The sequence below is a fragment of the Homo sapiens genome, chromosome 9 (assembly GCF_000001405.40).
Source record: "Homo sapiens chromosome 9, GRCh38.p14 Primary Assembly".
Classification (NCBI taxonomy): domain Eukaryota; kingdom Metazoa; phylum Chordata; class Mammalia; order Primates; family Hominidae; genus Homo; species Homo sapiens.
This window is the reverse complement of record NC_000009.12, coordinates 106,615,287-106,642,851: the sequence shown is the minus strand read 5'-3', so window position 1 is coordinate 106,642,851 and position 27,565 is coordinate 106,615,287. Positions and strand designations below refer to the sequence as shown.

General features: G+C 39.6%; 1 long non-coding RNA gene across 1 annotated transcript in view; it reads right to left on the bottom strand.

Annotated features, from left to right (window-relative positions):
- The window catches only part of LINC01505 (long intergenic non-protein coding RNA 1505), a 63,745-nt gene extending 36,951 nt beyond the window's left edge, over window positions 1-26,794 (bottom strand). Inside the window, exons 1-3 of the long non-coding RNA NR_104145.1 lie at window positions 26,536-26,794; window positions 4,600-4,693; window positions 3,416-3,513 (exon numbers count right to left, since the gene is read on the bottom strand). This is a non-coding gene — a long non-coding RNA (long intergenic non-protein coding RNA 1505). The remainder of the gene's footprint in view (window positions 1-3,415; window positions 3,514-4,599; window positions 4,694-26,535) is intronic.
- Window positions 26,795-27,565: the final 771 nt, after the last annotated feature.

Here is a 27,565-nt window from a genome sequence, read left to right as displayed (position 1 = left end):
GATGTCTTTCCTTGTTTGTGTGCCACTACTCCCCCACCAGTTTATCTTCACAGATACTTCAACCAGTACATCTCTAGCACTTCTAATCCTATTTTGGCATCTGGAGACACACTTCGTTTTTGTTGTTGTTATTGACTTGTATGAATTCTTTTTATACTCTGGATACAAGTCCTTTGTCGGAATCTGTATTGTAAATATTTCCTTCCGGTTTGCATGTTAATTTTCTTAACAATGACTTTTTATGAGCAGCAAGTTTAATTTTGATAAATACAACTTATTGATGTTTTCTTTGATGGTTCGTGCTTTTGGCATTTTAAGTTATTAAATTTATTGGCATGATGTTCATAATATTTCATTATTTGTAGAATCTACGGTGATGTCTTTCCTTTGTTCTGATATTGGTAATCTCTTTTATTGAAGATCATATTTTCTTGATATTGGATATTAGTATTTTTTTCTGGATTAATCTACCTAGGGGTTTATCAACTTTATTTATTTCAAATAATATATTTTTGCAGTTAGTGATTTTCTCTATTATTTAACCATCTCCTATTTCGTGGATTTCCATTTTTCTTTATTATTTCATTCTTTCACTCGCTTTAATTTTCTTTCTTTGAGTTTCTTAGAATGAAATTCTAGAGCTTTAATTATCAACTTTTTATATTTTATAATGTATTCATTTAAAGCTATACATTTCCCTCTAAGCAATGCTTTATCTCTATTCTGCAAATGTTGGTAAGTTGTGTTTTTCATATCATTCAGTTCAATATACTTTCTCATTTCCCTTGTGACATCTTTGACTCATGGCTTGTTTAGGAAGTGTGTTGAATTCCCAAATATTTGAATATTTTTCAGATGTCTATCATACTTAATTTATTGCCTTTTATTTATACCCATTTAAAATAATTTTTTTTATCATTTCACAGAAACGTAAGAAACTTGTAATAAATATAATTACATTTACCATTCCATCATTTCTGCTACTGTTGTCATATCTTTTACATCTACATATGTGTTAAAACCCACAATATACTGTCATCTTTCTTTCTTTTTCTTTTTTTTTTTTTTTTTTTTTGAGACAGAGTCTCACTCTGTCACTCAGGCTGGAGCGCAGTGGTGTGATCTCTGCTCACTTCAACCTCGTCTCCTGGGTTCAAGCGATTCTCCTGCCTCAGCCTCCTGAGCAGCTGGGATTACAGGCGCCTGCCACTACGCCCAGCTAATTTTTTGTATTTTTAGTAGAGACGGGGTTTCACCATGTTGGCCAGGCTGGTCTCGAACTCCTGACCTCAGGTGATCCATGTGCCTTGGCCTCCCAAAGTGCTGGGATTATAGCCTTGAGCCACCGATTATCTTTCTTTTAAAAAGCATCTTAAAGCAATTCAAAGAAAAAGTAGTGTTTTGTATTTATCGACATATTTATCATTTACAATGCTTTTCATTTCTTCTTGTAGGTTTGCATTTCAATTTGGCATTAGCTTGAAATCTTTTTAACATTTTTTTTGTAGTGCATACCTACTGGCACCATATTTTCCTAGCTCTAACTTACCTGAAGATGTCTTTATCTCATCTTTATTTCTGAAGCATATCTAATTTTAGATTAGTAGGTTTTGTTCTGTTTTAGTTTTAGTAGTTTAAATATACCTTTTTCTTATTTTCTGGCTTCTATTATTTCTGATGTGAAGTCACCAGTGAATCTTATCATTGTTACCTTCTAAATAATGTTATTTTATTCTCATTGCTGTTAAGATTTTTATTTATCTTTGATTTTCAGAAATTTGACTATTTTGTCCTAGGTATGTTTGTTGTGTGTGTGTTTATTCTTCCAGGTATTCACTGAATTTCCTGGATCTGTGGTTGATATTTTCATTTGCTTTTGTAAAATTTTTGGCCATTTAAAAAAATTTATTTTTCTTCCCTTAGATTCTTCTAAGACTCCAAGTATACTTACAATAAGAATCCACTTGATATTTTCCCACAGATTACAGAGGATCCATTTTTTTAAAGTATTTTTCACTCTTAGTTATTCAGTTTGGATGTTTTCTGTTAATCTCTCATCAAGCTTGCTGATCTTTCCTTCTGTAGTATTTAATAAGTTATGAAGGTCATTCAGTAAACTTTTCAATTAAATTTTAATTACAGATGCTGTATTCTTTATTTCTAGAATTTTATTTTCCTTTAGCTCCCTTTAAAAAAATAATTATTTTGATTGGCTGAGGTTCCTCATCTGTTTATTCATCATGCTCATCTTGTACTTTACAGCTTTGAGTACATTTATTCTAGCTACTTTAAAGTCCATATCTACTCAATCCAATATATGTGTAGTCTATTTTCTTTTTCTGTTTACTTTTCCCCTCCCTTCATTTATGGTTTATATCTTCTTGATCCTCTACATGGCTAGTAAGTTTTGATTATTTAGATTTTGTGGTTTCTACATTGTTGACAGTCTGGGTTTTGCTGTTTCCCTTTATAGCTTCTATCAGCCTCTCCCTTCCTCCCTTCCTCCCTCCCTCTCTTTCTCTCTCCCTCTGTGTGTGTGTGTGTGTGTGTGTGTCTGTGTGTCTGTCTGCAATTCAGCTAATTCACACACAAGCAGATCAGCTTGGTCTTGTCAAGGCTTGATGTTAGTTCAGATGCATCAGGCTTTCAATTAATCCTTACTCCATGATTAAAGTAGTAGCACTGCCCCCAACACGTATCTTTTCTGAAGACTTACATTCATGGCAGAGGTGTTCACTGAGGACAATCTACTCTGGAAATCTGATCTCCGTTTGTACTGTGTGACCTCTGTGATCGCTCATCAGCTGACAGTTTGCGTGTAGTTATTCCATGCCAGTCTTTGTTGAATCTTGCTTTTTTTTTTTTTTTTTTTGGCAAAACTCTGTCACCCAGGCTGGAGTGCAGTGGCACAATCTGGGCTTACTGCAACCTCTGCCTCCCAAGTTCAAGTGATTCTCCTGCCTCAGGCTCCTGAGTAGCTGGGATTACAGGCACGGGCCACCATGCCTCGCTGATCTTTGTATTTTTTTTTTTTTTTTAGTAGAGATGGGTTTCACCATGTTGGTCAGGCAGATCTCAAACCCCTGACCTTAGGTGATCCGCCCACCTCAGACTCCCAAAGTGCTGGGATTACAGGTGTGAGCCACTGTGCCCGACCAAATCTTGCCATATTCACATACAGATTAGTATCTGGGCAAAGACTTAAAGAGATTCAATGGAAATTTCTGGAGGTCTTTTTGGTACAGTTCTCTTATTTCTAGTACCTTGCCTTATAAATTCTAGCTGCCACAGCAGTCTGAATTCTGATCTCTGTTTCCTTTCTCTAGGGATACTGATGCTTTCAGTTTGGGGTCTACTTATATGAAATATTTTAAAATATTCTCATGTAGGAACACAATATGAATGTGGAGCTTACCTGTGTGTGTCCTGCTCTCAAGATTATAGTTTTGCACTCTTTTTTGTCCAGTGCCTGCAAATGATTTCTTCATGTACTTTTATCTTCTTTCAGAGTTGCTTACAATGATAAGTAAGTGTAAGAATGATGCACGTTAATTCAACATGGCTAAAGTCCATGACTATTGTAAAAGTTTACAAGAAAGTATTGCCATATCTATCTATCTATACAGATACATATGCATATATGTTATATGCATATAATAGGTATGCACACTATATACATAATACAGTATGTGATATGCATATATGTATGTATGATATATATGTTTATTCACATACATACACATATGTATACCAATGCATTGTTTTACACTTCCCTCAATGTATTCTTTCAGAAAGATGTTTCAAGGGGGTCCTATTTATTCTTCACCCAACTTGAACCAAGCTGTAGAAGTAAAAGATTAAAATTCTTTGTTTGGGAGAATTTTTCGTTGATGCCTTCATGACTATGGGATAATATCTAAACCCCTGACAGATTTATGTTGAGCAATCCTCACACTCTGGCCTCATTTCCTGCCATTTCATATTCCACTCTAGTCCCCGTACCATTTATGGCCCCCAGTGATCTACTTGTGATTTCCTAAATATATCATCCTCTTTCACACCTCCATGTCTTGCATATGCCATTCTCTCTGCCTGGAATGCCTTTTATTCCTTCTGTTCTTTCTTTTTTTTTTCTTTAGAAAGCTCTTTCACCTTTTCTGCAAAGGTTGTCTATTCTCCACCAGAAATACTAATTATACTTTCTAAATTCTTCCTCTGCTATTTCATATATCTCAGTGAATTGAAAGTATATTTTAATGTATCAACATCCCTACTTCCCATCCCTATTATACTATAAAATTACAACAGGACCATGTCTTATTCATTGGTGTATCCTCACCACATTCATACTATCTGGCACATAGTAGGTTCCCAATGAGTGTTTCTAATTAGATGAATTAATTAATATGCGTGAAATGAAAAATAGATATTTCTATTTTCTAATGGTAATACTCCTAACCCCTAGATGGTAGGATCTAAAGTCCAAGTCACATGTTTCCCATGCTGTCCAACATCTACCCTGCCTCCTGGTTGCAGATCTGAATTGTGTTATTTCTCAAAGGCCATTAAGAAGTCTTCAGAGAAAGCACATGAAATTACCTCCAGTGCTGGTTTGCAATAATGTCCTTTTGTTCTCAGATAGTCTCCAGTTGACAGCTATCAAGGTTGTTCTAATTTGTGTCAAACCGGCCATCTACAGGGAACATTTTGGAATGGGGAAGGTTCAGGAGACAGAAAAAAAGTAATGAATATAAAGTGTAAATGCCATAGTAAAGTAATAGAGACATATAATAACAGCAAGGGAAATTTGACCTTCTGGCCGAAAACTCGATCGTGAACCAATTGGAGAACTTTAGAAAATTGGATCAGCCTCAATAGTCACAGAGTAAACATGGGAAGTGCAATCCAGTCTTATTAAACATAATGCACACTTAATGCATAATTTTATTGCAACCAATTTCATGCTACTGCTTTAAATGAAGCTGGGTTTACTTCCATTGCACCAGTCCACTACCATTAGTGCCTCTTAAGAGAACGGCAAGGCCAGTAAACTGTTACTGGGCTGATCTCTTCCTCAGCCCATACTTTCTGCTTCATAAATTCACCCTGCTCCCACAGCTTGTACAGAAATCTTGTCTCCATTCAGTACATGGCTTTTGAAACACTACACTGTTTTGGCAAGTTGTTTGCATACGGGAATGTTATAGCATTTCCATTTATACCAGTACGTAAGGCACTGAACCTTTGCCTTGGGAGAATGTTTGTCTGAATCCCAGACCTAAGAGCTGGGGTTCTTATTATCTGTAAATTCAGTCTGGGGAAAACCTAACGTCTGCATTGTGATAAGAAAGGAGATGTGATTCTGAATCAAAAAGAGAGAGACTAAAACTCATAAGATGCATCTTGTCTATATCTTGAGGCTTGGCTTACTTTTTTCTGTCCATGTTAATTTTGGACTATATGCCCTCAAATTCTGTTTGACTTCCTCTGAGGTCTAGTCTTCGCATATCTGAATATGAATAGGATAAGGTGAGGTGCTGAAAAAGATAAAATCTAGAGCCTGATGCCTGACTTTGAAGTCTTGGTTCTGCTACTACCTGTGTGAGCTTGGCACATCACTGTACCTCTCTTAAGCTCAATGTTTTCATCCATAAAATGAGGTTCCTAGTCATCTTGTGATGAGGGCAGACTGAAAAAGCACTTTATAAGCCTGAAGATGGTTGCATATATTATTGTAATTAAAGAAAAGCATCAAATGTGATAAATTATGAGCAAACCAAATTCTGTCAAAGCCACAATTATTTCTAAAACTTAATAGGCATTAAAAGTCTAAAGATATCAAAAACACATTGCATATATTTTAAATCTCTCACAAAATTCTGAATTCCCTTCTTCAAAAAAACAAAATCTAAATAAAAATTTTGTATTGAAACAAAATTTCTGAAAATATTTTCCAGCTGCTATGGGATGAGAAAGCAAATCGTACCAAAGCCTATGAAGACATCAGTAGCAGAAGGTCTTCACAGATCTCTGGGGCTCTTTAAATCCTGAACAATGCCTTGCTTTCCCCTTGAACAACTCACTCCCCACAGGACTCCCTTGAAAGTGCCTGCTCTTCGGAACCAGGAAGAGCTCTGACACTGGGGTTTGTAGTGGCCTCATAAGGGGCGCTCTTGAGGTGGCCACAGGAGATCCAGAAAGAAAATTACTGATCTGCATTCTGAATTTTGGATTCATCTATATTTCAAAGAACATCTATAAAAGAACGCAACTGCTCCCAGATAGTTAAATGCTAACCCCAGCCAAAGTTTTCTACAATTCCCAAAATCTAACTAGTGTTATAAAGGGGAACCATGTTCCAGTTGTACATCATGAAATGGCTGCTCAAAAACATTAATAGAAGTCATTTCAACATAGAATAGAGTTGGAGGCTGTGTCACTGTGGAAACTGAGCCTAATTTGGGGAGTGGGTATAGGCAATAGTCCTTCTACCCCTAATATAACAACATTCTTATATTATTTTTTTAAATCCCTTATATGTGTATCAAAAAGAAAACAAATTTTTCTACCAAAAAGACATATGCATGTGTATGTTTATCACAGCATTACTCACAATATCAAAGACATGAAATCAACCTAGGTGCCCAGCAATTGTGTATTGGATACACAGAATATACATATATACCATGGAATACTACGCAGTCATTAAAAAGAACAAGATTATATCCTTTGGAGCAACATGGATGGAGCTAGAGACCATTATTCCAAGCAAATTAATGCAGGAGCAGAAAAACAAATACTACATGTTCTCATTTGTAAGTGGGAACTAAATATTGGGTCCTCATGGATATAAAGATGGCAACAATAGACACTGTTAGAACTAATAGAGTGGGGAGGGAGTGGGGCAAGGTTTTAAAAATGAACTGTTGGATACTATGCTCACTATCTAGGTGACAGGATCATTCATATCCCAAACCTCAGCAGCATGCAATATACCCATGTAACAAACCTGCTCTGAATCTAAAATGAAAGTTGAAATTATTTTGAGAAAATTCCCTTATATGTGTACTCTGTCCAGTTCCAAATGGAATTAGAGGTTCATTGATTCATTTACCAACAAACATCAACTGAGTCCAGGATACTGTTGGCTAGCCCTGTGCTATGCATGAGGGTTACAGAGATGATACTGCACTAAAGAATTGAAAATCTATCAGTGAGATAATACAGACATGAAAGCAGCATACAACAAGATAGGGTGAAATAAGGGCCACAAGACAGATAAAATTCAAGGTTAGAGAAATTCAAAGAGAGAGATAGAGGCCATCCCCATCAAACAAATATTTATTTTATACTGTATCAAATTTAGTTGTTATTAATTGATCATGATTATAACAATCTTTAAAATCCTTTCCAGATTTGAATTATAATTTAAAAAAATCTGTGCAGCACACATCACCTGGTCTTGGGCACATGGAGTATCTGTCCAAATGTAATGTACAGCATCTATGGTTCAAAAGCTCAATGTTAATACGTTAGTAATGATGTTACACCTGATGGGGACAGCATAAGATATCCCCTGCTACCTGTTGGTAGGTTGAAAGGATCTATCAAATCTGGAGTTTTAATGAACCTAATCTTTACTGGCAAAGTAGCTAACTTGCCTCCTGGAACTTTTTCTGCAAAATTGTTAGTTATTGTCCTGCTCACTTTACTACTTCTTCTCCTCCTCCTCCTTCTCCTCCTTCTCCTCTTTTTCTTCCTCTAATTCCTCCCTCTTCTCCTTCTTATTCTTCCTGTCCTTCCCCCTCCTCTCCCCTCTTGCTTCTCTTCCCCTTTCTTTTCCTCCACTTTAACATTTTAAAATTGAGGTGTAATCCACATAACAGATGAATGATATGTGAAACTCATCATTTTAAAATTTACAATTCAGTGTTTTTAGTGTATTAATAACACAGTTGTGAAACTATCAGCTCTATCTAGTTTCAGAACACTTTTTTCCTCACCACACCCTCCCCCATAAAAAAAAAGCCCATAGCTTTTAACTATCACTCTCTAAGCTCCTCATCTCTGCCCTAAACAAAAACTAATTTGTCTTTATGGATTTCCCTATTCTGGAGATTTGTATCAGTAGAATCACACATTCACACATTGCATGTTTTTTTTTTTTTTCTCTGTCTGATTTTTTCACTTAGCATAGTATTTTCAAGGCTTATCCATATTGTAGCAGGTATCAGCACTTCATCTCTTTGTATGGCTGAATAAAATATATCACAATTTGATTATCCATTTATCAGTTGAAGGACATTTGGATTATTTCCACTCTTTGCCTATTGTGAATAATGCTTCTATAACCATTTGTGTACAGCTTTTTGTATGAACATATGTTTTTTATTTATCTTGGTTATATACCTATGAGTTGAATCACTGAGTTGTATGGCAACTCTACGTTTAACCTTTTGAGAAACTACCAGACTGTTTTTCAAAGCAGCCATATCTTTTTGCATTCTCATCAGTGATGTAAGAGGATTCCAGTTTCTACTCATCTTCAATGCTTGTTCCTGTCTGTCATTTAAATTAAAGCCATCCTAATGGGTATGAAGTTGTATTTATCTGTAGCTTTGATTTGCATTTCCTTAATGGCTAATGATGAACATTTTTACATGTGGCTTATTATCTATTTGTATATCTTCATTGGAGAAATGTCTATTGGAATCTTTTGTCAATTTTTTAATAGGGCTTTTGTTTTTATTATTGAGTTCTAAAACTTCTTTCTATATTGTAGATACAACTATCCTTTCAGATATATGATTTGCAAAAATCTTCTAATCTGTGAATTGTCTTTTCACATACTTAATGGTGTTCTTTAAAGCAGAAATATTTTTCATTTTGATAAAGTCCACTTTATTTTTTTCTTCAGTTGCTTGTGCTTTTGGTATCATACCTAATAAGACTTGCTTAATTCAAGGTCATGAAGATTAACTCTCATATTTTCTTCTAAGAGTTTTATAGCTTTAGCCTTTACATTTAGGTCTTTTGCCCATTCGGAGTTAATTTTTGCACAGTACATGGTGTGATATAGGAGTCCAACTTTATTCTTCTGCATGCAGATATCCAGTTTATCCAGGAGCATTTGTTTAAAAGACTATTCTTTTATTTTTAAATGTCTTGGCATCCTTATCAAACTGCATTTTATATCTTGATCAACACAGGATATACTCACATAAGAGACTTGGGAGAAAGCTACCATGCCATTCTAGATGAGGAATCTGGTCATCCAGCTAATCCTGGTAATTGTATTATATTGGTGCAAAAAAGTAACTTGTGGGTTTTGCCATGACTTTCAATGGCAAGAACTGCAATTACTTTTGCACCAGCCTAATACATTTGTTATCAGATTGGAGAAATAATGACTAAGCAAGAAGTAATAAGCAAAAAAAAAAAGTATGGTAGTTCTCTGTGAGTGGGTCCAAGTTTTTGTTACATTATCCACTTTAATACTAAGCATATGCTATAGACTAGAGGTTGGCATGTAGCAAAAATCTTAGTGAGACCTGAAGTAGCATGCAGAGCTTGTGTTCCCAGCAAGAAAGAGTTCTATGAGTTTTTTGGGATTGTGTGAGCAGTACTAATTTCAGAGACATTGTAAGTGGAGAAAAGAAGGGAGGAGACTTCTCTCTTTCTTAGCATCCATGGTCGAACAAGATAGGCATTCACGGACTGAAATGACCTGTCATCCCTATGTGGTCTACAGATTTAATGTTATTTTATATGCTGATTTTAACATGACAATTGCCACAAATGTATCTTTTGTTAATTATTTCTTATTTATTTTTTTATTATTATACTTTAAGTTCTAGGGTACATATGCACAACGTGCAGGTTTGATATATAGGTATCTTTATATACTCTTGTATAAAGATTAACTAGCAAAGGGACATAGGCAAGACCCCACTCGTTCTGCATGACAGACATTCTCAGGAATGCTAGCAGGAAGTCTTCTGAAAGTAAGGTTATGTGTGTGGCTGATGAAACTCAAGGTATGTCCCTGGACTTTGGAAAAGCTGATTTAAGAATTTCAGAGAATGACTAGCTATGTTTCTACAACACGCCACTTGGAGCAGGGAAAGTGGAAAGAGAAGGTGAAGCAACAATCAAACAGGCAGCTCTGACTGTAAACCTATAGAGGATCTCAAGAGAGAAGGAGTCCAGGAGTAAAAAGGTCTGTAGCAAAGATAGAATAAAGACCATATATCAAAGGACAACATGACAAATGATTGTAGAGAAAATTCAGGATGTAGTGAAACTGTTAGAAAGTATGAAGAAGACTAGAAAAGGTTAAGCAAACATGACTGGAGGAAATCAAAGCCTAGCCATGGTTTCCACTGTGCTCCACATCATGTATCTGCTTTCACATCCTTACCTCCCACTAATGCATCATCCACCCACAATATGGTCTGGCCCCACCACCTTCTATAAAATTGCTCTATCAATGATCACCAGGGACCAACACAATTCAAAACCTTGCTTTTTTTTCAGTGCAAACTTCACTCATCTTCTCCATCATGTTGAAGAGATCAAACATTTCTGCATTTTGACACTCCTCTCTTTGGTCATTTGCTTCCTCCTTCCTCCCTGATTGCACCCTCTCTTTTTCCATCTCCCAGTCCTTTGAAGTCAGCATTTCAGCAAGTCCTACAATTCACTCACACTCTAATGAATCTTGTATAGTTTGTCCTATAATGAACTCATTATGTTTCCTCAAAGATTGTCATCTTCCTCCAGCATTGATTGTTACTATAAATGCCAAGCTGGTCTCCCAGAGTCAGCTTCTCCCTTCCCCATTCTCTCTAGGTTCATTCTCACTGGGATCTTTCTCCATCACATATGTGACCATCACTCTCTAGTGCCTTCACTGATTCCCCATTGTTGACAGGATCAAGCCTAACACAAGGCTCCATTTCTGTTTCTGTGTCTTTAGGACAAGTTTCTTGGTTCTTAAGGTCTGGGCCCCACTGTGGACTGCGGCTTTGGGATTTTCTCATGATCTCCCTACTCTGGTCCTGGTTGCCTTCTCATGACCCTAGTTCTTGGATCATGAATAAAGCCATTGACTCTCCATTCCATCATTGCATATGAAATATTATCCAATGGCTCACACTGCTTATCAGGTATTCCGTGATTTGGCCCAGGTGACTTTGTCAATATGCTATTTATTCTCTCTCACACACATACATGCACACACACAAATATCCCTTTCAGTTGACTTGAAAATCATTATTTACCCAAACATACCCAAACCATGGTAAACCATTATTTACCCAAAATACCTTTGCTTGTATTAAACATGCATACATGTGCACATGTAAACACACACATAGCTATACATAGCTAAATACATAATGATAACTTAGCTTTGCTAGGTGTGAAAAAGGCTTTCAACAGTGGTCCCTAACCTTTTTGGCACTAGGGACCAGTTTTCTGAAAGAGAATTTTTCCATGGATCAGTATGGGGGGATGGTTTTGGGATTATTCAAAGCAAATAGACCAGGAGGGCCAGGGGACAGTAGACAGTGTAATTCGGCTGAGAGTCTGGGAGATTCAAAGGAGGGTCAGGGAGCTGGGGGAGCTACTTAATGAGTGAGAAGCTATAACAGTGATATGTGCACTCCTTGGACTCTGTCTTACTCCCTTTGGGCTGCTATAATAAAATATTATAGACTGGGTACCTCATAAACAACAGAAATTTATTTCTCATAGTTCTAGGTGCTGGAAATTCCATAATAAAAACATAGGCAGATTTGAGGTCTGGCAAAGACCCATTTTCTGGCTCATAGATGGCAACTTTTTGCTGTGTCCTCACATAATGAAAAGGAGAAACACATTCCCTTAGGCCCAAGACCCAAGAGCCCTAATCCCATTCCTAATCACTATCCACAAAGCTTCACCTCCTAATACCATCACCTTGGAGGCCAAGATTTCAACATGTGAATTTTAAGGGTACATAAACATTCAAACCATAACCTCTGGTAAAACCAGCTTTCAAACTTCAACCTTTAAATTTCATGTTTATGTTCAGCATACTAAACATGGCAGCATTACTAGAACCTGACTTTTTCTGCTCAGGGAATCTGTTCTAGAGCTTCTCAGTGGGTCCTCCAAGAGGGCCTCAGATGGGTATTGCACCAGAAGCTCTCCCTACCCAGCCTGTCTGCTTCCCAGAGAACCTGAATTGACATAGACTAAAAAGCTAGAGAAAAACAGGAGTCAGGCCATTGCCCCATTATAGTAATAAATAGGTCTTAGGCAACACTTATATGCCAGACACTGTTCTAGAAACTTTGTGTATATGAACTAATTTAATTCTCAAGACACTGGGAGTGAGTACTACTATTAGGACCAGTTATAGGTGAAGATCCAGAGAAAAATACAGAACCACTTTAAAGTCTCACAGCTAGCAATTCATGGAGCCAGAATTTGTATCTACGCAGTCTGAAATACAGTTGGTGTTCATAACCCTTATGCTCTTTTCAGGCAACCTGCTTAAGGGGATTATAGACAAACTTGAAAAACAAAGGAACAAGTCCTTGTAAAGTGTTTGAGTGATATGTGGGGTAGCTTTCCTGACCTCTCTCCCCACCCCACCTTCTGCACTCTGCTCCATCCACATTGGCCTTCCTTCCTTGCCCAGAACTCTCTGGGCTCTTTTCCTTCAAGGCCTTCACAGCAGCAATTTTCTTAGCTTGGAACTCCCTTTTCACACTCATCTAACTTCACTGGACCAAGGTCTGCTCGATTACCACATTCTTGGGGAACTCTCTTCTGACCCCAAGCCTATGTTTGATCCCTTTGTTACATTCATGTATGGCATCTAGTTCTTTTCTTTTAGAACTCCCATTACAACTTCAATGAAGTAACTAATTCTGCAATGACTTATTTGATGCTTGTCCCTTTTCACAGGCTTGCCATTTGTTTTGCTTTCCAGGGTATCCCCAAGTCCAGCCCCAGGCAGGTGTGAATATATTGGCTGGATGAATCTATCCTAGCAGCCTGGGTCTCAGATGAGTAGGAGAGAGGGTAGACAGAGGCCAACAGCAAACATGTATCCATTCTTATTTAAAAAATGTGTTTGAAAATGAGGTCAGGATGGTCTAGATGGGCATTGAGTGTGCCATCGCCAGAGGTATAGAGAGGATAGTGGACACTTGGTGGGGATTTTGTAAGAGAGTCAGTATAACAGGTTTGATTACAGAGCCAGATGTATAGTACTCACGTTGCTATAAACAAACACCGGAGACTGGATAATTTATCAAGAAAAGAGGTTTGATCGGCTCACAGTTCTCCAGGCCGCAGAGGAAACACGGTGCCAGCATTTGCTTGGCTTCTGGAAAGGCCTCAATGCTTGAGGAGCTTTTACTCATGGTGGGAAGTACAACAGGAGCAGGCACGTCACATGGAGAAAATAGGAGGAAGAGAGAGATGGGGAGATGCCACACAATTTTTTTTTTTTTTACTACGGAGTCTCACTTTGTCGCCCAGGCTGGAGCACAGTGGTGCGATCTCAGCTCACTGCAGCCTCTGCCTCCTGGGTTCAAGCGATTCTCCTGCCCCAGCCGCCTGAGTAGCTGGGACTACAGGCAGATGCCACCATGACCGGCTAATTTTTTTTATTTTTTTATTTTTATTTTTTTATTTTTTAATTTTTTTAGTAGAGACGGGGTTTCACCGTGTTAGCCAGGATGGGTCTTGATCTCCTGACCTCATGATCCTCCCACCTTGGCCTCCCAAAGTGCCGGGATTACAGGTGTGAGCCACCGTGCCCGGCCTGCCACACACTTTTAAACAACCAGATCTTACGAGAACTCACTATTGCAAGGACAGCATCAAGAGGATGATGCTAAACCATTCATAAGAAATCCATCCCCATGAGCCATTCACTTCCCATCTCCAACATTGCAGATTACAATTTGACATGAGATTTAGAGGGGACACATGTCCAAACTATATCACCCTTCTATTTCTGAGAGTCCCTGAGTGACTTCTCCAAGGCTGCATCATCCACGGGTGCCCTGCCATCACCCAGAGAATGTGATATTTGGTCCTTATAAATGAGACAGCACAGTGTAGCGAAATAGCTAGCTGCAGAAAATAAAGCATTTTCTATGGTTTTGGTTTGGTCTTTATTCTTGCACTGCTGAAAATAAGGCCCATCTTTCCCACACCACCTGTCCTGTTTTCTTAACTGAGAAATTAGGAGCTAGACTAGATCATCTCTAAGGTCCTTTAATTCCAAGAATTACAGGCCATATTTCTTAAGATGATTGTTCCACCCTCTCAGATTCCCACCCTCTTTCATGTCATAGGCTTTTATCCTTCCTTATCAGTAATCAACACAATGGAAACATGACCCTTGGGGAACAGCACAGCACATATTGAATATTCTTGCCTCCATATAGCTATCGCTTGAAAGAATTACACCGAGAAAAAATAAATTTTCTACAAGACTTTGAATTTCATAAAACTGTTCCATAAAAAGTAGGTCTTTTATTTCTCCCAAGAATTGTGTGACACAGGTGTGATATTATTTCCACTTTACTGATGATGAAACTGAGGTTCAAGGGGGAATGAGATAAGCCTAAGGTCTTAGCTGGAAGCATTTCTGGGGCTTGAACCAGCTCTGAAGCTCGGTGATGTTGTCATTACTGCATGTCACCTAATGAGATCAAGTATTAATACAAGGAACACATATTTAAGCAGTATTAGCTGCTTTTTTTGTACACAGTGAATGTGAACATAAACTTGGTCATTGGCTTTGTATATGTAAGCTATCGGGGAATTGAAAATAAATTGTTTCTGAAAACTAATTCATTAACAAGTGTTTATTTGTGAGACTGTTGAACAAGTGAAAAACTCATATATTTTTGGTGTGAGTATACTTAACAAAGGGAAAAAAACCCAAGGACACATGTTTCAATTATCATTAGGCTAAAAATTCCATGTATTTCAGCTTTTATAAGTAGGCACAAAATAATATATATAAATGATGGAGAAGATAAAGAAATTTCAGAAAGAAAATGATTTCGACATCAATCTTTCAAAGAGTTATTAAAGACAGTTTTTTAAAAAAAATCTGAAAAATACCTTTGGTCTTTTCTCTCTTGATGGCTGAACAGATATTATATTAGAATGGAGTTGAGGTGAGGAATATTTTTCTCAAAAAGGCAACATGGTTGAAGAACACAGGCTGTGGCTGGAAGGCAGTGGACTAGGTTTTCATCTTTTATCCCTGGTTTCTGGGATATACTGAGTGAGCCAGTGTTACTTGTCTGGGTCTTTCTTGCTCTATTTGTAAACTGGGAGCAACCTGGCAAATGTTTAGACATAATGGTCAACATAGACACAATTACATTAGTCCTTTTGTGTAAGATTTAAGAAATTTTAAATACTTCCCTATGCATTATCTTATTAATTTTCTCCCAAATCCTTGTAAGGTAGGTAAAAGAGAAATGTGTATGTCCATTGAGTAGATAAGAAAGCTGTGCCTAAGCGAGGTAAATATTCTTGCCCAAGGTTGTAATGCTAGGATGTTGTTGAGCCAGGATTTGACCTCAATCAGGTCCGATGCTCCACTCTGCTATGTTTTTCTCTCCAGCACAAGGCACTGACTGACACAGGCAGGCCAACTGAACAAAAGCTCCATGTTTCCTTTTTAACGTACAACTTTGAGGAAGGATGTGAGGTGCCTGAGCCTGGTGAGAAAGGCATTTATGTGTAAGAGCCCTCTGTGCATTAATGCTGTGAGTGAGAAGTCGAACTAACACCTAATTTTAGTATGCAGCTAGCGCAGTGTGCCTGTTAATCGTATTCAGTCAGGCTGACTGAAGAGGAGAAAGGACTAAAATAAACATTTCACTTAACCTTTACAATTCGTATATTTTGATTGTCCCACCAGCTTTAGAATACCCTTCTCTATGTAATCGCCAGCCATTTTCTATGCTTTACACATACTTGACTCCTTTCTGTCTGTCTTCCCTTCTCCTCCTACCCCTATCATGCTTCCCTATCCCTGTTTTCTACCCCCTGGCACTCCTCACATCGCTGCCTTCAGCCCTGAGTCCCTGTCTAGCCTCTCTTCTCTTACCCTACTTGTGGACAGGAAGCAGGCTCCAGAGGGGCTGAAAGGGACCTCAGACATGATCTACTCGACATTCTGCATGCAAAGACCTCCAGAAAGAAGAGAAGGCATGAAACTCCATAAACCATGGAATAAGGAAGGTGACAACATCTTCAACACACAGGAAACAAAGAAAGAGGAAAAGAAAATAGTGAGGTGAAACAGTAAAGTAAAAGAAAGCTTTTATCCTGACATTCTTACCCCACTTAAGTAAAAACAAACAACAACAACACAATATGATGCAGTCAAAGCTATGAAATTGGAAATACTTTTTGCATTACTGTCTTCAACATGGCAATTACAAATGCAGTGATTAAACAAGAATAATGCAAGGAAGTTGGGGTGAACAAAGCTGTGGAGTTTAATCGACAGGCATTGTCATGGGGCATCTCCTTGGTGGGCAAGTAGGGAGTTATTTTCAGGTTGATCCGAATCAGGAAGTTATATATCCCACTGAAATGTGAGCAACATGAAAATCTCTCTGTTACCACAAGCAGTTGGTGAGAACCCAAGGCCCCTAGAACAGATTTGTGCTGTGCTGTTCAATTTGGTAGCCACTAGTGACATGTGGCTTTTGGGCACATGTAATGTGACCAGTCCAGATTCGGATGTGCTGTAAGTATGAAATATACACCAGATTTTGGAAACTTAGTCTGACAGGGAAAAAAGAATGTAAAACATCCCATTAATGATTTTTGTGTATTGATTACATGCTGATATAATATGTTTGATACTATATATAGTTCCACAAAATATATTATTAAATTAATTTTACCTTTCTTTTTAATGTAGCTACTAGAAAATTTGAAATACGTATGTGGTTTATATTTGCAGTTCTCATTATATTTCTATAGAACAGAACTAGATTAGTTTCAGAGTTGTAATTAGGACCAAACAGAAAGAGAAATCCTATCCAGAATAATAATCAATATACCCAGTCTAGACAACATTGGAGAGTATTTGAGGGAGAAAAGTGTCTTAAGATTATTGTTGATGAAATCTAGATACTCCAAGTGAACTTTGAGCAACTGTAGTTGGAACCAGAGGAAACAGGCCAATGTTAGTAGCCCATGGTAACAGAAACAACCACTTGGTGAGGAAGTTGTATGTGGGAAATCCAGGCCAGGCCAGCCAGAGACTTTTTCCTCTTTTGCCATGTTTGTCTAAGGATATTTTTAGTTTTAGACGAAGAATGGAAAGTTCTCATGAAAAACCCATTGTTATCTGTGTATCACATAAGGCACTGCGTACATTGAATACAACAGGTTATACTTAACAAACTAATTAGTTCTGCACAGACCAGGCCTTCTGTGATGCTCAGTGAATCCTTTTGCAGGCTTCATTAAGCTCCACTTCAAGGACTCTCTTCGGGTATTCCCATGGCTCTCCATCTCAACTTGGTTCTACCTCAGATAAAATTCCACAGACCGGAGTGTCTGAAAAAAGTGAGCTGTCCCTCTTACAGAATGTGGCTTCAACCAGGCCCATCTAAGCAAGAGATGCTTCAGGGCCTATTAACATTCCTGTCCAGTTAAAAGAAATCCCAATTTTTCAAGACCCAGTGTAAAAAAGAGTCTGAATTTAAATAAGATCTTTGCAAACCCAGCATTCCAAAAGGAAATGCACACATCAAGCCATCAGGGTAACCATGTAAGTGCGGTTTACTCCAATAGAGGGGATTTAGTGAGGATTTCAACTACTCCTTCTGTGTCCTAGAGTTACTATTTACAGTGATTGTGGCTATAGACCAAGATGAGTTCCCTTGGGTTTTTAGTTAAAAATATAATAATATTTGTTTTAAACTAATCAAGCAATCTAATACCAGAAACTATTCTCTTCTTGGTCTTTAGTCTTCACTGTTTCCAAATTGCAATATGAGAGTGGAAGATGTGGCCATTTTTAAACCTGGGAGAGAATAGATGACTGTGAGTCTTTTATATGTCTAACATAAACACAAACTAAAGGAAGCTATTACAGAATGAAACCGAAAAGCCAGATCTCAGCTCTCAACTGTGAGATACAACATAAGAGACTAAATTCTTTTAGATTCTCTCTAGAGATACTCAACCGAGATATATATTTTCCTTATAGGTTTAACAGGGGGAATACTCCAGGTAGGGGCTAGTCCCCATCTCTAGGTACTTGCTGTAAGCATATGTATTACAGTTGCCTGATTCAACTATGAGCAAACCCTTGTTTGTACTGACCATTGAAGATGTCTACAACCTATTATTTTTCTGCTTTGTTCTGTTTTTCAAAGGTACAGATACAAACATAAGGTTTTCTAATTATGCTCATCAACATAAATTACTGAGATTTGCCAACTTTCCATTTCATAGGGTTTTTTTTTTTTGTCTGTTTGTTTGTTTGTTTATGAGATAGGTTCTCATTCTGTCACCCAGGCTGGAGTGCAGTGGTACGATTACAACTCACTGAACCTTCAGGGCTCACACAATCCTCTCACCTCAGCCTCCTGAGTAGCAGGAACTACAGGCATGTGCCACCACAGCCGCCTAATTAAAAAAAAAATTTTTTTTTTTTGTAGAGACAGGTTTTTGCCATGTTGCCCAGGCTGGTCTCCAACTCCTAGGCTCAAGGGATCTGCCTGCCTCAGCTTCCCAAAACACTGGGATTACAGGCATGAGTCACCATGCCAGGCCCATTGGACAGTTTTTCACAGAATTCATATCATGTTCTGACCTTAGTATTCAAGTTTCTTATTTGTATTACAGGCAATTGAGTTTCCGATCTCTGCCTTGAAAGCTGTGAGATCTTGGGCAGGTTGTATAGTCATTCCGAGACTTAGTTTTACTTATCTGTAAAATGAGGATAATTGTATTGTGCTCACATGGAGATTGGATGGGTGAGACATGGTCTACATACTCACACACGGGACAATTTTCTCACTTTCTGTAATTGCCTAGCACACATAGTAGAGATGCAAGTCATAGCTGCCGAATAGCCACTTCTTAGACCCACTTCTAAAAGGCTATGTTAAGAGACAGATGCCAGCAACTTCAATTTTCTCCCACAATGATGGGAATGTTATGTGATGTTGCCGCTCATACCAACAGGAACTCTGAGCAGGGGAAATAATACTCAGGAGGGCTTTGGGTTGGTTCCTCTAAGTCAGAAACCCAAGGAATAATTGCTAAAATGTTTTTAGCTCTCAGTGTGTGCTATCTTATCCCAGAGCTTTATTTTACAGGATGTGGGCTGTGTTGGGACCCAGGTTAAAAATAAGACTGTTATTATCTTAATATTGCTCAATTCATTCATCAAAAAATGTATGAAGCACTGGCTGGGCCTAGTGGCTCACACCTGTAATCCCAGCATTTTGGGAGGCCGAGGCAAACGATCACTTGAAGTCAGGAGTTTGAGACCAGCCTGGCCAACATGGTGAAACCCTGTCTCTACTAAAAATACAAAAATTAGCCGGGCGTGGTGGCACATGCCTGTAATCCCAGCTACTCGGAAGGCTGAGGCAGGAGAATTGCTTGAACCTCGGAGGCGGAGGTTGAAGTGAGCTGAGATGGCACCACTGCACCCCAACCCGGGTGATAGAGCAAGACTATCTCAATTAAAAAAAAAATGTATGGAGCTCCTACAGGTGACAAGCAGTGTTCTAGGAACTGAGACTATAGGTGCAAACAAGGCAGGCAATGTCCTTACCCTCCGGGAGTTTCCATTCTGGAAGGAAACTGACATTAAAAATAGTTATCAAAAATAAAGTCACAGACAAGGCCTATGATAAGAACAACATAGACAAAGCATATTACCTTGAAACCTCATAACAGCCATCCGGCAAAGCAGGTACAGGGTGTTTCATGTTACATGGGGATGAACCTTGAGAAGCCAGTAAGCCCACCAGCTGCTAGGAGACAGGAGCAGAGGTGAAGTTGTGCTTTTCTACCTCCACCTCACCGCTTCAGGGATCATGTGGGGGCCGTGGTGCAAAATAAATTAATCCTCAGTTTCCTCATGGTAAAATGGGAAGAGTTCCTCCCTGTTCGGGTCAGGAGGATTAAACAAGCTAATAGAAGAAAAACACTCAGGATTGTACCTTACACTCAAGGTTCATTAGAAACACATGGTAGCTGCCATCAGAAAGTCCACAGAAAACAAATAGCTACAAAGTGGGGTAATAAAAGTACTAAGAAAAGGTGCTAGAAGCTTCCGGAAGAGAGAGTGACTAACACTCGTTAGCAAAAGGAGAGAAGGAATCTAGGTGGGTTTTGAACACAGAATAGGAGTGCGCTGTGGGCGCCACGGCATTATGAGGAGAGGAAACAGCACGTACCACGCATGAAAGAGCACGACTCCTGGCGGGGAGTGGACTGTAATTGCTTCTTATGGCTGGAATATGAGTGCCCTGGAGGAGGGCCAAGAGGTGGGCTGGCTAAGCCCAGAGAATAATCCCTCTTTCTATGGCTGTCAGGAGCTCCAGGAGGTGATGGGAGAATAGGAGAGCCAGAGAAAACCTCGGAGGCCCAGGCCCAGACGCAGTGGGCCATTTGAACCTCCATCATCTGAGAGGTAAACCCCAATCGTGTGCCAAATTGCCTCTTCAGGCTCCAGCCTCTCCCCACTGTGGACTGTTTGCCTGTCTGGAATGAGATAATTTGTCAGACACCAGCTGCTGATCATTCTTTCCTCATGGGCACATTTATTATTATGTTACAGTGTGCATGAAGAATCTTTACCATCACTGGAGTGAAAATGATTAAAATGTGGGGTTTTGTTGTTGTTATTGTTGGGTTTTGTTTTTTTTTTTCCTCCAGAAATTCTCAAGTCTTCCCTCTGCCAGGGACAGCATCATCGGTCATGAACCATGTTTGGGTAGCAGGCTGTGGGGAGTCATTGTCATAATTAACAAAACAACAAGCAGAGAACCCCAGGGTGTTGGGCTGGGGAAGAAGGACTGTTTGGAGCCTTTGTGATCAGAGCAGAAGTTCGGCAGCCACGAAGCTGGGCGACACGTCTCTGAAAGAGTGCCGAGGATGGGCTAGCTGGCTTCTAGAGCCGCACCATGTCTAATTATGTACCAGGAGGCAAGAAAAGGTGTAGGTCTGTCTTTCCAGTTCAGAGGGAGAAAAAAAAATCTGTGGTGTCTCGCGTCTAAGAAACGAACAGGCTGACCTTTTCAGAGCGTCTGAAAGAAAAAACCAGATGTATTTCTCAAGAGTCACTGTGACTGAAGGCTTGCATTGTGCACTCACATAAAGGGAGAGCTAACCAGAAAACAGCAGCTGATGATCTGAAGCCGGGCTGTGCTATTGTCCGGCACACAAATGTTCTACAAGGACCCAGACCACCATGCAGTTCTCTGTGCACAGACTATGGAGGTTGGGGGGGGTGGGGGGGTGAGGGCTTTTTTCCCCCCTTCTTTTCTTTCTTCCCTTCCTGAAACCTTTTCCTTCCAATCCCTCTACAATCGCTCACATTCAACTGCTAGCAATTATTCCCATTGACCCTCTTCGCTCTCCAAATGGGGTGTGGGTCTCTGAAGGTTTTCTCTTTGTACCTGACAATCCCCTGTTACAGGCAGGCTCCAGGGAGGAGGTGAGGTCTCAGCTCCCTGGGGACGGTGACTGGGAATTGAGTGTCTGTGATTTATTTTCCATAGAGCAAAGTCAAAGCAAGGCAAGTGTGTGCTGGGAGGCAGACAGGAGGATCCTCCAGCCTCATCAAGGGCTGCTTCTCTATTGTCCTTGGGGAGGCTAAGGGCAAACTCTGGCATTGTTGCAGGGGGAAGGGAGAAGAAGCAGCAAGATGAAAAAAAGTAGGCAGCCAAGTGAGATGGGGAAGCGAGATCCTTTCTCCATTCCAGCTCAGTGTTTTCAGGCTTTCTCCTACAGCCTCTACCTTCTTTAGCATTAGTGGACTCATTTCAACTCTTCTGCAAACTGTAACGTTCTTGAAGGCAGATACTTGTCTTCCCCTCCTTCTTGTCTTTCCATTGCCGTCGGTGTTATGTTTGCACCAAGCAGTTACTCAGTAAATGCTCCTACGTGGAATTTACCCTGTGCCCCTTCCGACTGGATCTGGCTCCTTCTATTGAGAGAGCACCTCCTCCTAGCAGCAGCCTTCCTTGACTGATGTAAAGTGGCTTCTGCTCCAGGAACTCTTGATCACTTAATTTAGCTCATTTTTTTTTAGGCCATGTCTACAGACATTTACTAATATACCATATTTATTAGCTGGTAGGTTAAAAAATAGTTCATCTAGCAAGATGAAATCATAGCTCTCTGTTCTTTTAAGTGGTCTGACTACACTTTTATAAAAGCCCGCAGGAGGCAGACTCAACAAAATTCCAGAAATGTAATGTTACTACTTTTGTAATTGGAATCAGAAATCTCACTACCCAATGGCTGAACGCAGGACCATCTGGGTTCAGATCTCAGGTGCTGTTCCTAAGGCTACAGGTTATAACTTGTTTTATATTTGCCATAGCACTTTGTATTAGAGATAATTCTGATCATATGTATGTTTGCTTTTTGTCTCTTACCTCCACTAGACTGTAAGTTCTATATAATAACACCAGCAAGAAAAACAACAACTAATATTTATGGAATGCTTAGTGAGTGTTGGGTACTATTTCAAAAGCTTTACGTGGATTATCTTTTTCAATTTTTCATTATGTGAAAGTATTCCCTGTGTCAAGAAGAGTGGTTGGCACTACATTGAATTTAATAAATACTTGTCGAACCAATAAAAGGAATGAATGCTATACCCTTCCAAGATTGCAACTAATAAGTCAAACCAAATCCTAGAAAAAGAGATGTTATGAGAACACAGGCAAGTCAAAGGAACATCCTCATGCATTCTTGAAAATACAGGTAAGCCTTGCATTGTGCAATAAATTGCAAGGACCCTGGACTTGTCAGAATATATTCTTAATTGAAATGCGTCGTGGAGTTAGCTATTTTGAGAGAATCCTGTTATAGATTCTTTTGTTAGGCAAAGAATTATTTTATAATGCAAATAAATTATCCCCCTCCTCCAAAATAGTAATCACTGGCAAGAATATCACAAATTAGCGTTCTTCGGAGTGCTTTCCTATATATATAGCCATGTGCTCACACATAGGATTTTGGTGTCACTACAGAACTAAGTGTGTTGAACATCAAGTCACTGACAGATCTCTTAGATACTGTAAGTAAATATTCCTATTGAACACATAAGAAAATGAGGTTTAGGGAGATGATGAAATTTGGCCAGAGAACATCCCTTTGATGACTCTATGTCTGAAGGGTCCTCTCATGACGTGGGTTGATTGGAATCCAGAATTAGTCTGACTCCTTGGGTTGTTCCCCAGCCACAGATGCCTGTTTCATGCCTAGAATCATAAGTTTATTTAAAAACATTTATTGAAAGCCCTTTATATACCAGGAACTGCTCATAAGAAGTATGTCAAAAAGCAAAGTAGAAAAAAACTGCTTTCAAGATTCATCTATAACCACAAGGTCCAAATGGTAGCCACTAGCTACAAGTGGCTATGTAAATTTAAATTAAATTAAGAAAAGTTTTAAAATTAAAAATGCATTTCATCAATTTCACTAGGTGATCTCAAGTACTCAAATACTTGAGTTTTAAGTACTTTTGTGGCCACCATACGTCTACTAGCTGCCGTATTGAAAAGTACAGATATAGAGTGTTGCCTCTACCATAAAATGTTCTATTAGTATTGCTCTAGATAGAAAATAAACAAATCTATAATGTGTCTGCTGGTGATAAGGGCTGTGAAGACAATTAAAGCAGGGTCAGAGGATGAACAGAGATGGACAGGGCTCATGTTTACAGGGTATTAAGGTAAGGCGCTCTGAGCCAGGGACTGAATGAATACAGGGTGCAAGTTCCATGGCTATCTCGGGGAAAAACATTCCAACTCAGGGAGTACTTAGTACAAGGACCAAGAAGTAGCCTGCTTCTCAGTTGGAGGAGTAGCAGGGAGGCTTCTGTGGCTGGAGCAGGAATCACTGAACGTGGGAGCAATGATTGGAGATCAGAGCAGAAAGCAGGGCTGGGACAGAAAAACGGAGGCCTTGCAAGCTGTGTTAAGCCTTGGATCCCCAAAAGACCTGAGCAAAAGTGATCTGAGTTTTGTCTTTCTTCTCTCCTCTTCTTTTCACAGTCTCTTTCTCTCTCCTGTCTCTTCACACCCCTGTACCTTATCACTCATGCCTTTGTGATAAGATAACTCCTTTTTGTTTATAATACTCAAGGAAGTCAGAACGTAGAACAGCATTTTGCATCAGGCAGCATCAAGTTCTCTTCTTAGTCCAGGACTCTGAGTCTGTGACTGTAGGACTTAGCAGGTCTGTTGCTTGTTGAGTGAGTGTGACAACTGGGAGATCTGGGCTCTGTTGAGGTTTGAACCTTATGGCTGGAGAGACAACATGGGTAATGAAGGTTTCTTAAAACTAACACTAGAGTTTATTATTCACGGAATAAAGGTGATATAATATTTTTATTTATTTATTTATTTATTTTTTTTTAGACAGAGTCTTGCTCTGTCACCAGGCTGGAGTGCAGTGGTGCGATCTCGGCTCACTGCAACCTCCAACTCCCTGGTTCAAGCAATTCTCCTGCCTCAGCCTCCTGAGTAGCTGGAATTATAGTCATGCGCCACCATGCCCGGCTAATTTTGTATTTTTAGTAGAGACAGGGTTTTGCCATGTTGGCCAGGCTGGCCTGAAACTCCTGACCTCAGGTGATCCTCCTGCCTCGGCCTCCCAAAGTGCTGGGATTTCAGGTGTGAGCCACCGCGCCCGGCCAATATTTTTCATATTAATTCATTTAACACATTTACTGAGCACTTAATATGTACCCAGTGGTTTGTCCAGTAATGAGGGGAAATTCCAGGACACTGGACTTTCTGTGCTAAAACCAGAAAAGTGCTGGGCAAATTCAGATGAGTTGGTCAGCCTATTTGTGGTGGACATTGTGACTGCAAAGATAAGAAATAGTGTCTGCCTTCCAGACAGCGCAGGCTGTTAGAGAAGACAGACCATACACAATTCTCAGTGCTTTGATTGAGGAGAACACAGTTGTTCTGTCATGTTGCATACCTGAAAGGCCCCAGTACAATGAGGATAATGAGGGAAGACATCCTGGAGGAGGGGAATATCTGCTTTAATTCTTGAGGATGATTAAAGATGCCCACCTCGTGGCCCCAACTCTTAACACCTTCCCTGGGTCTTCTGTGAAGGTTCATAACAAGCAGGTCAATGTGCACCCATAGTCTCTTCTTGTTGGAGAACCAGATCACCACTGACCTCAGAGATTCTACTGCCCCCAAATGCTTCATATCTGATTGCTTTGTTTGATTAGAAAGCACAGAAAGGAAAGGAATGACTACATATTTGTCCATGGGAGTATCAATATTTGGGCAAAAGGAGGCTGTTGATCACATCTGTCATTCTCTCCTGGCATAACGAGAACTAGGGGGCATCTACAAGAATGTATATTCATCTAAATTCGTGGGACAGAGGAGTCAGGCGAAAAGGCTTTTCAAAGGCATGCTGCATCTTGCTCAGTGAGTGCGCATTTCTCAATTCTTTCTCAGAAGCAGACATTAAAACCTGCAGCACAGTCATTTAGAATTTCAAAGGTTTCTTCTTCAGGGGGTGGGACACAAAAGACACCACCGTTATTCACATAATGCTGGGATGGTGGGGAACAGCAGCACACCATTAACGAAGACGGTGCAGCAAACCTTTATGGAGAAAGGCAAGAGCTATTCTGCCAGGATAAAGAAGATGCCTCATTACAGTTGCTTTTAAAAAAGATTATTATCATTATTCCTTTTAAAATTCACTCCTGCATTCCACCTAGGTTGGGAGAGCTTAAGAGGGGAAAGACAATTTTTAAAAGTAGTTCATAGATCACTAAAGAATCACAAAACACTCAACATTCAGTACACACCTCTCTCTCTCTCTCTCTCTCTCTCTCTCTCTCTCTCTCTCTCTCTCTCAGTGGAGGGTGTCAATCAGAATTTGGAATAAAAGCAACATCCAAATAAAGAGATTTTTTTTCTTTCTTAAGGCAGACCTCTTATGGTATTGCTCTGTGTGGTTTAAATGGTGCCAAAATCCTACCCAATGGCTTGAAGGACCAAATAAGATGAAGCTTCTCACACATAATGCTGCTGGTCCTTCAACATTATCTTGCATAGCTTTGCCCTTCTTCTCCCTCTCCTTTGTTTTGGAATTACAGGAGGCAAATGCCACAGATTTCAGTTGGAAAACCAGGAGCCCAAGCTGCAGGAACAGCCAGCAGACAACATTGTCTCTGAACTGCTATTGTTTCTATTTTAGGAGCACATTGAGTGATTAGCTTGGGTAACAGTAACATCGCATTACCTTGCAAAGGCTGGAAATGTCTTTCAATAAGGAGGCAACACCGAGTCCATGTGATACAATCCCGTAGACAGAGCCAAGTGGAATACATCAAAGAGAGCCTTGATGCAGATGTTTCATGCAGAAGAAAATTAGGTCAGAGACCACTTCAATTTCAGCTTCTGCCAGCCTCGTTTGAGAGCTTCCAGTGAATTCGTAATGAATAGCTTCTAGGGCACTTTTCTCTCATTCAGTCACAGGCTGCCACAGCCAGATGAGCGTTCCATGTGGAATCTTCTCTCATTATTTAAAACTGCTACTTTGTGTTCTAAAATTCCAGAACCCTTCCAATACGCCACAACCATAGGCCTGAAACAAAAAGACTCCAAAAATACAGAGAGCCATTAATCTGTATCAGATTCTTGCGTGCTCTCTCTCCCCATCCATCATATACATGCATGTTTTTTAATACATCCCCAAGCCCTTTTTTCATCTGCTTATGCAGGTACATAAACCGTTGCTGAGGAATATTGGAGATGTCAGGCTTTTTTAATCTTACTCAACTCTGAAGAAGCTGAGTGGCCTATAGATGACCAAAATGCTCTGATGGCTTCTTGCAGGGAGTGTGCATGTGTGAGTGAGTGTGGCGTGCATGTATAAAGAAAAGCTTTTCTCTGAAAAGAGCAGAGAAGGGCATGGTGACCTCGATGAAAGTGAATGATGCATCTTTTCCCTGCCCACTCCCAGCCCCATCTCACATGTTATTTATTATATTGAAGGGTTAGAATCTGGGGCACCCTGGTATCTTCCTGTATCCTATGCTCTTGCTGCCTACCGTTTTTGGGGTTCACTGACAAATCCTTGCTGACTGGAGTCGGGGTGTGTGGAGTGGATCACTTCAATTCATGCCAGGAGAAGAATCATTAGATTCTAAATGCATTCAGAAGACAGGGGGCAGAGAGACAGACTCGGAGGATCACAGAGGCTCCTCAAAGCTGGTAATGCTCCGATTTCCCATGGGAAAGGAAATGAAGTGGCAGCCCTAGCTTCAGCT